The following is a 14,461-nucleotide window of genomic DNA, read 5'->3' as shown; positions in this document are numbered from 1 at the left end:
CAGCACACCAAAGGAGGTCCAGAGATTGGTGACTAAATTGATCACGTTCAGATCCCCCATCTGTGGAGTGAAGTTTTGTTTTTTTTTTAGAGACCGGGTCTCACTAGTTGCCCTGGCTGGAGTGCAATGGCATGATCATGGCTTACTGCAACCTCAACTTCCCAGGCTTAAACGATCCTCCCACCTCAACTTGCAAGGTAGTTTGGACTATAGGCACATGCCACCATGCCTGGCTAATTTTTAAATTTTTTTTGTAGAGATACTATCTTGCTATGTTGCCCATGCTGGTCTTCAACTCTTGGATTCAAACGATCCTCCCACATCAGCCTCCCAAAGTGCTGGGATTACAAGCGTGAGCCATAGTGCCCAGCCAAGGAGTGAAGCTGTGATTGGCCCCCACTTCTGAATGCTGAGGACCTCCTTGTCCAAGCACCTCTTCTCTTCTTTGACTTCTTTTCCAGGTGATCTCATCCAGGTCATGGCTTTCAATACCACCTGTGTGCTGGTGGCCTTCACACTGATATTTCTGTCCCCAGCCTCTCCCCTGAACTCCATTCGTGCATATATAGTTGCCTACTCGGCCCTTCCATTATTTCTGTCTAGTAGGCATCTCACACTTAACATGGTCCACACTGAACTCCCCACCTCCCTCTTCATCAAGAAGCAGATCACAGCTCCATCTTTGCAGTTGTATCTTGCAGATGACTACCATTAGAATTATCCCCAGGCTGGGTGTGGTGGCTCACACCCCATAATCCCAACACTTTGGAAGGAGGATCACTTGAGCTCAAGAGTTCGAGACCAGCCTGGGTAGCATATGGAGGCCCTGTCTCAAAATCAATCAATCAATCAATCAGGCCTGGTGTGGCGGCTCATGCCTGTAATCCTAGCACTTTGGGAGGCCGAGGCAGGCAGATCACTTGAGGTCAGGAGTTTGAAACCGGCCTGGCCAACATGGTGAAACCCCGTCTCTACTGAAAATATAAAAAATTAGCCGGGCATGGTGGCAGGTGCCTGTAATCCCAGCTACCCAGGCAGGATAATCGCTTGAACCCGGGAGGCAGAGGTTGCAGTGAGCCGAGGTCATGCCATTGCACTCCAGCCTGGGCAATAAGAGCGAAACTCCGTCTCAAAAATAAATAAATAAATAAAATAAAATAAATAAAAATAAGTAAATAAATAAATCATAAAAATAATAAAGGAATTATCCCTGACTCCTTCACTTCTCTCAACCCTCAACATCCAGTCCTGTTGGCTTGACCTCCAAAATATACCGAGAATCCAACTATTTCTCACCACGTCCACATCTTCTACCCTGTTCCAAGCCACCACCATCTCACGCTTGGACTATTATAGTAGACTCTTCTCTGGTCTCTCCACATCTACCCTCCCCTCTCCAGTTGATTCTGCACAAGCCAGAAAGGATTCTGGTAAAACCTGTCTGATGGTGTCCCTCATCCGGTCAAAGCTTTTTGAAAGCTTCTTATCGCATTCAGAGTCAATGCTAAATTTACAATAGCCTTCCATCTCCTGTGATCTTTCCTCCTTTATGCAATCTAGCTCCCACACCCTTTCCCTCCTTCAGGTCCTTCGAAGTTGCCTCTGCCACTCCCTCAAGCCCCCAGCTCTCTGCTTCAGGACAGATTCTGGACATATTTACTTGCTTTGTCTGTCTTCCCCGCTAGAACCTAAGTTCCCCGAAGCCCTCTGTGAAAGACATACACTTAGTTTTTTTCCTGCTTTATTTCCAGTATCTAAAATAGTTTTGGTTGGGCTCAGTGGCTCACTCCTATAATCCCAGCACTTTGGGACCCCGAGGTGGGAGCATTGCTTGAGCCCAGGATTTCAAGACCAGCCTAAACAACTTAGAGGGACTCAGTCTCTGCAAAAAAATACAAAAATTAGCCACGCATGGTGGCATGCATCTGTAGTCCCAGCTACCCCGGAAGCTGAGGCAGGAGGATTGCTTAAGCCCAGGAGGTTGAGACAGCAGTGAGCCAAGGTTGTGTCACTGCTCTCCAGCCTGGGTGACACGACGAGCCCCTGTTTCAAAACAAAAACAAAATAGTTCTGGCATGTAGTCTGCACTTATGAGTGAATGGGGTGATCAGTCAAAATCTATATGGTTCTAAGAGGCCGAGACTACCTTGGCCCAGACCCAAGGCAGCACGACACAACTTTACCTTTATCTGGCAAAGAGGGAACCAACAAATGGCACTGGTGGTGTCAGCCACAAAAATAACACAGATTCCATGTTAAGGTTTGGTCAGGATGCAGAGTAGCCTGGGCGCCGTGGTTCATGGCTCTAATCCTAGCACTTTGGGAGGCTGAGACGAGAGGATCGCTTAAGCCCAGGAGGTCCAGGCTGCAGAAAGCCATATTCGAGCCACTTCATCCAGCCTGGGCAACAGAACAAGACCCTGTCTCAAAAAAACAAAAACAAAAACAAAACAACGACAACAAGAAACACAACAATCTCTCCTGGACATTTGGATTCACTGGGCCTGGGATGGGGCCCTTAAATCAGCCTTTTTATCTATTATTTTTTAAATTTATTTATTTATTTATTTATTTATCTATTTTTGAGACACAGTCTCACTCTGTCGCCCAGGCTGGAGGGCAGTGGCGAGTTCTTGGCTCACTGCAACCTCCACCTCCCGGGTTCAAGCAATTCCCTGCCTCAACCTCCCAAGAGTAGCTGGGATCACAGGGGAGTGCCACCACACCTGGCTAATTTTTTATTTTGGTATCTTTAGTAAAGACAGGGTTTCACCATGTTGGCCAGGCTGGTCTCGAACTCCTGACCTCAGGTGATCTGCCTGCCTCAGCCTCCCAAAGTGCTGGGATTACAGGTGTGAGCCGCCCACCCCCCGGCCTATTATTTATTTTTATTTTTTGAGACAAAGGTCTCACTCTATTGCCTACTAGAGTGCAGTGGTGCAAACATGGCTTACTGCAGCCCCTACCTCCTGGGCTCAAGCAATCCTGTCACCTCAGCCTCTTAAGTAGCTAGGACCACAAGTGTGTGCCACCACACCCAGCTAATTTTTAAATATTTTGTAGACACCAGGGAGGTCTCACCATGTTGCCCAGGCAGGTCTCGAACTCCTGAGCTCAAGTGATCCGCCTGTCTTGGCCTCCCAACGTGTTAGGATTGCAGGCATTAAGCCAACTGCACCCAGCCAGGACTTTTTCCATGGCTGTTAAAACCACAAGGTAAAGATTCAAATATTTTTTTAAAATGTATTATATAAAAAGGATTATATCTCAACAGCTGGAATGCAAACAGAATGAAACAAAAATTCAACGAATATGTATTTGTTTTTGATGGTTATTGCTCAGAGCAAAGTAAGGGAGGTTAAGCAGCAGAAAGAACCCACATCTCGTATTTAATATTAAGCAGCTGTCATCACCCCAATTGATATATTGTTCACAGATTATGGTTTCTCTGGCACCTAAAATATACATACTCTCCATCCCTACATATAAGTGTCAAGAGTCCTTAATCATCTCCTGTGTAGAGCAGATTACATTTCCCAAACAGTGAACACAATTTCTCCCTCAAGAAAACGTATTGAAAGATGAGAGAGATTGGAATGTGTAATACAAAACAGAGATGCAGAGAAGAGTGTTTTCTAGTTCAAGAGGAAGAATGACTTTATTAACTGTAAAAATAAGGTCTGCAAGCCACAAGTTGGCATGAACTCACCTGTGTACCTATTTTTCAAACAGACCTGAGATTAAAAACTGGCCAGCAGCCAGGTGCGGTGGCTCACGTTTGTAATCGCAGCACTTTGGGAGGCTAAGGCTGGAGGATCTCTTGATCCCAGGAGTTCGAGACCATCCTGGGCGACAGAGCCAGACTTCATCTCAAAAAAAAAAAAAAATTTTTTTTTGTGGAGATGGAATCTTGCTGTGTCACCCAGGTTGGAGTACAGTGGTGTGATCTCCAGCTGCCTCCTGGGTTCAAGCGATTCTCCTGCCTCAGCCTCCTGAGTAGCTGGGACTACAGGCGCATGCCACCATGCCTGGCTAATTTTTGTATTTTTGGTAGAGACAGGGTTTCACCAGGTTGTCCAGGCTGGTCTCAAATTCCTGACCTCAGGTGATCCACCTGTGTAGGCCTCCTAAAGTGTGGAGATTACAGCCATGAGCCACCGTGCCCAGCCCATCTTTACAAAAAAATTTTTTTAAACATTAGCTGGTGTTGTGGTGCATGCCTGTAATCCCTCTCCTCGTGAGGCTGAGGTGAGAAGATCACGTGAGCCTGGGGGGGTTGAGGCTGCAGTGAGTTATGATTACACCACTGTACTCCAGCATGGCCAAAAGAGCAAAACCGTGTCTCTTTTGTTTTTGAGACAGAGCCTTGCTCTGTTGCCCAGGTTAGAGTGCAGTGGTGCAATATCGGCTCACTGCAACCTCTGCCTCCTGGGTTCAAGCGATTCTCTTGTCTCAGCCTCCCGAGTAGCTGGTGTTACAGGCACCCACCATGACACCCGGGAAATTTTTGTATTTTTGTAGAGACAGGGTTTCGCCATGTTGGCCAGGCTGGTCTCGAACTCCTGACCTCAAGTGATCCACCCGCCTCGAGGAGAATAAATGGAAAGTGCTGGGATTACAGGCATGAGCCACTGCGCCCAGCCAACCCTGTCTCTTAAAATGGACAAATAAACAAAACTGGCCAGCCCCTTCATAGTTGTGTAACCTTAGGTATGTCACCTGGACTCCTTTGAATCTTGGCTCCTATTAAAAGATGCTACTGCCTCACAGAGAGGTTGTGAAAAATGGAAGGATATGCTTTTTGGTTAGTTTTGTTATCATAATTGTTGTTTCTCATCTTACCTGGCCAAACAATCCCAGCAGACCTGGGCATTTCCTAGCCCCCATACCTATGCTGGTGCAACTCATTCTTCCTAGGCTGCCCTTCGAATTTTTGTATGCCCTATGCTGACCTGCAAAGTTCTGCTTAAATGCCACCTCTTCCAAATGCCTTCCCGGATGCCAAAAGTCAGAAGTAATTTCTCCCAGCCGCAGCTCTTATCTTATCAACCCTGTATGTGATTGCACCTCTGTTACAGAAGTTAGTGCAAACTGCTCCCAACACGATGCTGCCAACATTCCTGTGAATGGCACCGCCTCCACCAGCTGCTCAAGCCCAAAGCCGGGCTTGTTCCAAATGCCTCACCCTTCATCACCATTTTTTTTTTTTTTTTTTGGTGGAGTCTCGCTCTGTCGCGCAGGCTGGAGTGCAATGGCGCGATCTCCGCTCACTGCAAGCTCCGCCTCCCGGGTTCACGCCATTCTCCTGCCCCAGCCTCCAGAGTAGCTGGGGCTACATGCGCCCGCCAACACGCCCGGCTAATTTTTTTGTATTTTTAGTAGAGACGGGGTTTCACCGTGTTAGCCAGAATGGTCTCGATCTCCTGACCTCATGATCTGCCCACCTCGGCCTCCCAAAGTGCTGGGATTACAGGCGTGAGCCACCTTGCCCGGCCCCCTTCGTCACCTTTTAAAGCTGTCTGTTTTTGCCCATCTCCAGTTCATCCTCCACAGTGATCCTTCTAAAACGCAAACCTGTATTGCCACTGTGATGCCTAAAGCCCTCAATGGCTCCAGATTAGCCTAGGTGTGCCCTCCTTATCTCTGCAGCTTCATCTTTGCTTTTTGACATATCATTCACGTGCCATAAAATTCACCCCTTTAAATTGTACAGTTCAGTGATTCCTCTTTTTTGTTTTCCTTTTTTTACAATTTTTTAAATTTACAGATGCACTTTTTGGTTTCGTATGTGTTTTTTTTTTTTTTTTTTTTTTTTTGAGACGGAGTCTCGCTCTGTCGCCCAGGCTGGAGTGCAGTGGTGCGATCTCCACTCACTGCAAGCTCTGCCTCCCAAGTTCACGCCATTTCCTATTTCCTGCCTCAGCTTCCCGAGTAGCTGGGACTACAGGTGACTGCCACCTTGCCCGGCTAATTTTTTTGTATTTTTAGTAGAGACGGGGTTTCACCGTGTTGGCCAGGATGGTCTTGATCTCCTGACCTCGTGATCCGCCTGCCTCGGCCTCCCAAAGTGCTGGGATTACAGGTGTGAGCTGTTTGTTCGTTTTAAGAGAGGATTTTGCTTTATTGCCCAGGCTGGGGTATAGTGGCTCGATAATGGCTCACTGCAGCCTCAACCTCCTAGACTCAAGTGATCCTCCCACCTCAGCCTCCCAAGTAGGTGGGACTACAGGTGCATGCCACCACACTCAGCTAATTTTTTAATTTTTTTGTAGAGATGGGGTCTTACTCTGTTGCCCAGGCTGGTTTCAAGGGATCCTCCCACCTCAGCCTCCCAAAGTGCTGGGATTAAAGGCATGAACCACCACGCCCAGCTTTGGATGTGGTTTTTAGATTCACAGAGTCCTACAACTATCATCACTATTTAATTCCAGAACATTTTCGTAACTTACAAAAGATGCCCCAGACCCACTGGCTATCATTCCCCACTATCCCCAGCCCTAGCCCCCGGCAGCCACCCCTCTACATTCTGTCTCTCTAGATTTGCCTATTCTGGACATTTCATATAATTGGAGTCTTACAAGAGGTGGACTTTTGTGTCTGGCTTCTGTTCTTACCAAAATGTTTTCAAGATTCATCCCCATTCATTGTAGCATGTATTAGTAGTTCATACTTTTTTTGTTGTTCGTTTGAGACACAGTCTCGTTCCCTCACCCAGGGTGGAGTGCAATGGCATGATCTCGGCTCACTTCAACCTCCGCCTCCCAGGTTCAAGTGATTCTTCTGCCTCAGCCTCCCAAGTAGCTGGAATTATAGGCACCTGCCATCATGCCTGGCTCATTTTTGTACTTTTGTAGAGACAGGGTTTCACCATGTTGGCCAGCCTGGTCTCAAACTCCTGACTTCAGGTGATCCACCCGCCTCAGCCTCCCAAAGTGCTGAGATTATACATGAGCCACCGTGCCCGGCCAGTAGTTCATACTTTGATGGCTGAATCACATCACATTGTACGGATGGACCATATTTTGTTTATTCGTTCCCTAGTTGATGAAGATTTTGGTTGTTTCCACTTTTTGGCTATTATGACTATGCTGCTATGAACATTTGTGTTCAAGCTTTTATGTGAACATATATTTTCATTTCTCTGGGGTATATACCTAGGAGTAGAATTGCTGGTTCAAACTGTATTCTATGGGCCGGGCGCAGTGGCTCACGCCTGTAATCCCAGCACTTTGGGAGACTGAGGCGGGTGGATCGCCTGAAGTCAGGAATTTGAGACCAGCCTGGCCAACATGGCAAAACCCCATCTCTACTAAAACAAAATACAAAAATTAGCTGGATGTGGTGGCAGATGCCTGTAATCCCCGCTACTCAGGAGGCTGAGGCAGGAGAATCACTTGAACCCGGGAGGCAGAGGTTGCAATGAGTGGAGACTGTCACTGCACTCCAGCCTGGGCGACAGCATGAGACTGTCTCAAAAAAAAAAAAAATTGTATTCTATGTTTAAACTTTTGAAAATCTGGAGACTATTTTTCATGGTGGCTGCATGGTTTTGCATCCCCACCAGCAGTGCATGAGGGCTCTGATTTCCCCACATCCTCCTCTGACATCATCTCCTGGCCCTCTGAGCTCTAACTCCATACCTCTTGTTAGTTCTTATGTCAGCCTGGTTCATCTTCTCACACAGCCAAAGGAGGTGCTTGAAGATGCCTGTGGTTTCAGCCCTACCAGACCTAGTGCCTCCTTGTCTACCCTGAAATGAAATTCATAAATAATATAACCTACATACTCAGATCATGAAAACATCTATGTGTAATTCTCAAACTATAAAATCGAGGAGATTAAATGGTAGGTCACTTATAATCAAATCAGATGTACTTTAATGCTGGAAGTTCTAATGAAGTATCCAGGTGCTTGAACTCACAGGTGGAAACACTTTGCAGGTGACAGCGACCATTGCAGAAAGATCCAGGTGTGGGGCATTGCGGCTGGGTGGAGTTGCTGCCAGGACTGTTACTCCAGAGCAGTGAACAGTGCTTGGTGAATTCCTGAACGAAGTTAAGCACAGGCCTCTCTCAATTTACATGGTCACTGCATTCCAGGAAAATTTAGTGTTTGTTAAAACTATGCAAAAAGTGCTCTGTATTTATATGTAAAATGGAGCCAGATTCTAGATTCCCCTAACCCCTCCTGGTAAGAACCACCTGTGCAGGTTCTTCCCCTCAGCCTCAAGCATTCTTCCCTCCTCTTGCAATGGGTCACTTCACCGGCTCTTTCAGCTCACACTTTTTTTTTTTTTTTTTTTTTTTTTTTTTTAGACAGAGTCTCGCTCTGTTGCCTAGGCTGGAGTGCAGTGGCTCAATCTCAGCTCAGTGCAACCTCCACCTCCCGAGTTCAAGTGATTCTCCTGCCTCAGCCTCCCAAGTAGCTTGGACCACAGGCATGCACCACCATGCCCGACTAATTTTTGTATTTTTAGTAGATATGGGGTTTCACCATGTTGGCCAGGCTGGTCTTGAACCCCTGGCCTCAGGTGAACTGCCTGCCTCGGCCTCCCAAAGCGCTGGGATTACAGGTGTGAGCCACCGTGCCCAGCCGGGCTTCCACCTTCCAGGAGGCTAGCCCAGCTTCTTTCCCATTTGTGGTCTTGAAGTTCCAATAAACAGGCCAGGCATGGTAGCTAATGCACTTTGGGAGGCTGAGGCAGGTGGATTGCTTGAGGCCAGGAGTTTGAGGCTGTAGTGAGCCATGGTCATGCCACTGCACTCCAGCCTGGGCAACAGAGCAATACCCCATCTGAAAAAAAAAAAAGAAAGAAAAAGAAAAGAAGAAATTCCAAAAAAAGTAAAAACAGAGGTGGAAGGTGCAAAGTGGAGGCCTGGTTCCAAAGTGGTGCACAGTCACTTCCACCTCATCTGTGTGTCAAAGCATGTCACAGTGCCAACCTGCTGCAGGTGGTTGGAGAGATAGGCTCACCTTTGATGAGAGAGGCAGCACTGGCACATGCACGGGTTCCAGGAGGCCTGTTTACTGGGACGCTGCTTGTAGTGATTCAGGCAGCAAGCTCCCTGGAATACGCTCTTCTGCCCCTTGTCCTGAAACCTGTGGCTCTTTCTTACAGATGGAGGATCCTCTGGGAGCCTGAGCCTCCCCTCTGGTCTTGGCATCTCTTTGTCTGGGCCTGAAGATGGAGGTGAAGAAGGTGAAGAAGATTAGGGTTTTGATGTTGTTGTTGTTTGTTTGTTTTTTTGAGCTGGAGTCTTGCTCTGTCACCCAGGCTGGAGTGCAGTGGCTCGATCCTGGCTCACTGCAACTTCTGTCTCCTGGGTTCAAGTGATTCTCCTGCCTCAGCATCTGAGTAGTTGGGACTGTAGTTGCATGTCACCATGCCCAGCTAATTTTTTGTATTTGTAGCAGAGATGGGGTTTCACCGTGTTGCCCAGGCTGGTGTTGAACTTCTGAGCTCAGGCGATCCGCCTGCCTCGGCCTCCCAAAGTGCTGGGATTACAGGTGTGTAATCCCACCGCGCCCGGCCCTTTTGGTTTTTTTTTGAGACAGAGTCTCTCTCTGTTGGCCAGGCTGGAGTGCAGTGATGCGATGACGGCTCACTGCAGCCTTGACCTTCTGGGCTCAAGCAACCCTCCTGCCTTAGCCTCTCAAATAGCTGGGACTACAGGCATGTGCCACCATGCCTGGCTAATTTTTAAATTTTTTGTAGAGATGGGGGTCTTGTTATGTTACCTGGGCTGGTCTCAAACTCCTGGCCTCAAGCAATCTCCTGCCTTGGCCTCCCCAAGTGCTAGGATTACAGGTGTGTGAGCCACTGCACTCAGGTGAATATGTTCTGTTCCAGATTTTGTTTTGGTCTTGTTTGGTTTCGTTTGGGAAGCATGATCTCATTTTGCTTTAGTGGTTATGATATTTTATTTTAAGCATGATATTTTATTTTCTTGCCACTTGCCTTATTTCTCTTCCAACTCAACTGCAATGAAAAGTCAAGGCAATGGAGCAATCCAGCTACTTATTCTGTAGATTTTGCTGCAAAAGCACCTAAGATTTGAGAGCATGGATTCTAGAGCAAGACCCTTTGAGTTAGAATCCTGGCTCTGTCACTTATAAGCTGTGGGACCTTGGGAAAGTGCCTCAGTTTCATCCTGATCATGGAGGAATCCCTGATCATGGGGATGCCATTGCTTGGGAGGGTGGTGAGGATGGAGTGAGGTAGTTGATGCAAGCCACTAAGAACAGTGGCTGGCCCCCCCGGGAAGCCCCCAAATGTTGGGTACCAGGACTATGCACAAAGTAGGCCCCTCCACAGGGCAGCAGGGAAAAGAGCCAGATCAGAGTGCTTGTGTAGAGGGCAGGCAGGCAGGCAGGGCACGGCCCCTGCCGCAGATGTTTCTCAGGGATGGAGGCGGCGGGTTGCGTGGGGGAATAAAGAGGATGGCTTAAATATTATAAAAAGCAGTTTGTCGGCTGGGCGCGGTGGCTCACGCCTGTAATCCCAGAACTTTGGGAGGTCAAGTTGGGCAGATCACTTGAGGTCAGGAGTTCCAGACCACCCTGACCAACATGGCAAAACGTCTCTACTAAAAATAAAAAAAAAAAAAAAAAAAAAAGCCGGGCGTGGTGGTATACACCTCTGTAATCCCAGCTACTCAGGAGGCTGAGACAGGAGAATTGCTTGAACCCAGGAGGCAGAGGTTGCAGTGAGCTGAGATTGTGCCACTGCACTCCAGCCTGGGTGACAGAGTGAGACTCCGTCTCCAAAAAAAAAAAGGCAGTTTGTAATCTCTTAGTGCATTCATGAAAGAACAAAGCCAGCATATATGGTGACTCCTGCCCATAACTGGGTCTCATTCTAGCCCTATTATGAGGTATTTGTGCTTTCAATATAAATTATAAATCTAAACAGATGCAGAGTTTGTTTTCCCCCCAAAGCAGATTCCAACCAGCATGAAACCAGCCAACACAAATAAATTGTGTGCTTAAGTCCATTGTTTCCAGCAACATGTAAACTGTTGGGTTACAGAAAGTCGCTTTGAAGGGGCGTCCCATTAGTGCTCCCAGCATGAGGGTTCAATTTAGGTGGTACATATTTGAACAGTGTGCTGGAAATTTGTGGCAAAGAAAGACACACATGGGATGGGGGCAGTGGGGCCAAGAGGCCCTTATCAAATCATACAGGATGCATTTAGGGGCTGTTGTCATAAAAGCACACAATAAATAAAGTGGCAGCCTTGAACTCAAGAAGAATTGTAGAATTCCTCAGCTGGCGGAATCATTTTGGGAATGCAAAGATCGCTTTCAATGTTGTGTTTGTAAGGAAATGACAGTCACCAAGTGGAGAATGTCAGGTCCTCTGAGGAACCCTGTGGGCACTCATGTGCAGAAACTATTTACTTAACTGGAATTGGTTTCTGAAAAAATTTGACTTTGCAGAGTCCCAAAGGGAGTGTGGCGAGTGTCTGGGATTTTCTTTCAGGTCAGGACTCGGCCTTTGCTAATCTCCAAAACTGATAAGGCCCCCAGATTTCAGGGCAGATTCATTCCTCGGCTGAACCAAGGTTTACGGTCCTTGTTGAGGCCAGAGGGAGAGCTTGTCATTCCAAAGGCCTCACCAGCTCCACAGAACCGACTTCTATCTGATAGATTAGTCACATGGGATCAAAGGGGCCTGAAATGAGGCTCAGGATGGGTGAAGATGAGAGTAGCGGAGACGCCTAGTAGTGATGGATTAGAATATTTATCTCCAGAAAGACTCCAGCAATCTGACCATTCTCATCAGGGCAGAAGGTAGATGGGGTTGATCATGGGGGAGAATTTTTGTGCCATTATCCTTAGGCAAATGATGGATTTTACCAAGTAGAATAGGTTTGGAGACTCTTCCTTCTGTTAAGCACCATCCCCTAATCCTCTCCCCAAACTCAGGCTCTGTCTCTGCTCTTCATCCAAAGGATGCTTGAGCATTGGGAAGTAATGAGTCCAAAAGGGCTCAGCCAAGAGTGATGTTGCCTGGTTCCAGTCTGGCTTTTCCATGTGAATTAGACAAATGACTTAAAATCACGCAGCGTTTATCAAGCTCCCCCTCCACTCTAGGCACAAGGATGCCGTGGTGCCCATGGCAGTCGTGACACAGAGTACTGTAGCCCTTGGTGGCAAGGTTTGCAGGCATTCATGTTCAGACCACTGGGATTGGTGATTCTCCTCTGACTAGGGCTGGCTTAAATGCTCCCTCTGTGGTCTTTCCTCTCAGGTGGAGGAGGATGAGAAAACAGGCAATACTGTGGGATGATGATGATGATGATGATAACAACAACATACATTTAATAGGAGCCAAGTATGTGTCAGGCAGTCTCAGTATTTTACATATAATGTTTCAGTGCTTGTCACATTTAACATGTATGTGAATCACTTAGAGATCCTGAGAAAATGCAGACGTCGGGCACAGCGGCTCATGCCTTTAATCCCAGCACTTTGGGAGGCTGAGGCGGGCAGATCACCTGAGGTCAGGAGTTTGAGACCAGCCTAACCAACATGGTGAAACTCTGTCTCTACTAAAAATACAAAAAAATTAGCCAGGCATGGTGGCATGTGCCTGTAATCCCAGCTACTCCTTGAGAGCTGAGACAGGAGAATTGCTTGAAGCTGGGAGGCAGAGGGTTGCAGTGAGCTGAGATCGCACCACTGCATTCTAGCCTGGGCAACAGAGTCAGACTCTGTCTCCAAAAAAAAAAAAAAAAATTGCAGAATCTGGTTCTGTAGTTCCGGGGTGGGGCCTGGGATGCTGCACCAGCAACCTCCCAGGGGATGCCCAATCTGCTGGTCTGTATACACATCGAGAAGCCAAGTATTATTTCACCTAATGCTCACAGCAGCGCAATGCGGCACTGTTGTCATCCCCATTTTACAGATGAGGAAATGGAGGCCCAGAGAGGCCAAGTTACTTGCCCAAAGTCATGCAGCTCAGAAGCGGAGAAGCCAGGATGGAACTCCAGGGTCCATGTGCTCACCCAGTTCTGCCCTGATGGGGCAGCCAGGATGCTTGGTAGAGGAGCACTGTGCCCAGAGTGGGGGCTTGGAGAAGGCTGTGGGAGATTGAGACTCCTTAGCTGGATTCCAGCGGGTTGAGTTAAGGTATTAACCAGGTGAAAGGCAAGGTGGGTGGGACCTACAGAGATCCAGGCTGGGGGAACCACAGGACACAGGAGAGAGGCTGGCACCTTAAAAGGACTGAGATTGTTCCAGTGGATTTGGGGTCAGAGACCAAAAGGCTCTGCAGGACCCTTAAGCTGCCGGGCATGGCCCTCCCTTGAGGGCCAGGTCAGAGTATCAATCTAGAAAGATCGGGGAAGCTTTCTGTTTTCTCATCCTTCAAGACCCTGTTGACATAATTTCCTGCGATACCCCCTTGGTCCTCAAAGGCAGAGGTCCATCCCCCTGCCTCTACTGCTCTGCCCCTGCACTGAGCACTTGGTTTTGTGGGTCCCTATTTTTTTTCTTTTTTTTTTGAGACAGGGTCTCACTCTGTTGTCCAGACTGGAGTGCAGTGGCGTGATCTCGGCTCACTGCAACCTTCGCCTCCTGGTTTCAAGCGATTCTCCTGCCCCAGCCTCCCAGTAGCTGGGATTACAGGCGCACACCACCACTGCCCGGCTAATTTTTATATTTTTTTAAGTAGAGACAGGGTTTCACCATGTTGGCCAGGCTGGTCTTGAACTCCTGACCTCAAATGATCCACCCGCCTCAGCCTCCCAAAGTGCTGGGATTACAGGTGTGAGACACTACACCTGGCCGTGGGTCCTTATTTATATGTCTGTCTCCCACTGGAGTATTTCTTCCTTTAAAAAATTTTTTTTGAGACGGGGTTTTGCCGTCACCCAGGCTACAGTGCATGGTTCCATCACAGCTCACTGCAGGCTCCACTCCTCAGGCTCAAGATTCTCTCACTTCAGCCTCCTGAGTAGCTGGGACCATAGGCACGTGCCACCATGCCTGGCTAATTTTTTTTTTTTTTTTTTTTTTTTGAGATGGAGTTTCCCTCATGTTGTCCAAACTGGAGTGCAGTGGCACGATCTCGGCTCACTGCAACCTCTGCCTCCCAGGTTCAAGCAATTCTGCCTCAGCCTCCCGAGTAACTGGGATTACAGGTGCGTGCCACCACCCCAGCTAAGTTTTTGTATTTTTAGTAGAAACGGGGTTTCACCATGTTAACCAGGCTGGCCTCGAACTCCCGACCTCACATGATCTGCCTGCCTCGGCCTCCCAAAGTGCTGGAATTACAGGTGTGAGCCACCGTGCTTGGCTGCCCGGCTAATTTTTAAAAAGTATTTGTTGAGATGGGGGTCTTGCTATGTTGCCCAGGCTGGTCTCAAACTCCTGGGCTCAAGTAATCTTCCTGCCTTGGCTTCCCAAAGTGCTGGGATTACAGGTGTTGGCCACTCTTGAGTATTTCTTCCTTGTT

The 14,461-nt window shown here is 47.9% G+C and overlaps 3 annotated features.

Moving 5' to 3' along the window:
- Positions 1,417-1,605: a transcriptional cis regulatory region, noted in NCBI's record as "candidate enhancer chr20.2420 targeted for multiplex CRISPR interference". NCBI's record gives its function as "positively regulates PARD6B gene expression with high confidence in K562 cells {active_cell/tissue: K562}" and the evidence as "EXISTENCE:mutant phenotype evidence [ECO:0000015][PMID:30612741]".
- Positions 8,094-8,593: an enhancer, noted in NCBI's record as "H3K4me1 hESC enhancer chr20:49320745-49321244 (GRCh37/hg19 assembly coordinates)". NCBI's record gives its function as "activates a minimal SCP1, AML or CMV promoter by ChIP-STARR-seq in naive H9 embryonic stem cells {active_cell/tissue: H9 hESC(naive)}" and the evidence as "EXISTENCE:reporter gene assay evidence [ECO:0000049][PMID:30033119]".
- Positions 8,594-9,095: an enhancer, noted in NCBI's record as "H3K4me1 hESC enhancer chr20:49320243-49320744 (GRCh37/hg19 assembly coordinates)". NCBI's record gives its function as "activates a minimal SCP1, AML or CMV promoter by ChIP-STARR-seq in naive H9 embryonic stem cells {active_cell/tissue: H9 hESC(naive)}" and the evidence as "EXISTENCE:reporter gene assay evidence [ECO:0000049][PMID:30033119]".

Source organism: Homo sapiens, chromosome 20, assembly GCF_000001405.40.
Source record: "Homo sapiens chromosome 20, GRCh38.p14 Primary Assembly".
NCBI lineage: Eukaryota > Metazoa > Chordata > Mammalia > Primates > Hominidae > Homo > Homo sapiens.
The sequence above is the reverse complement of the archived record's forward strand: the minus strand, read 5'-3'. Positions and strand labels throughout refer to the sequence as shown.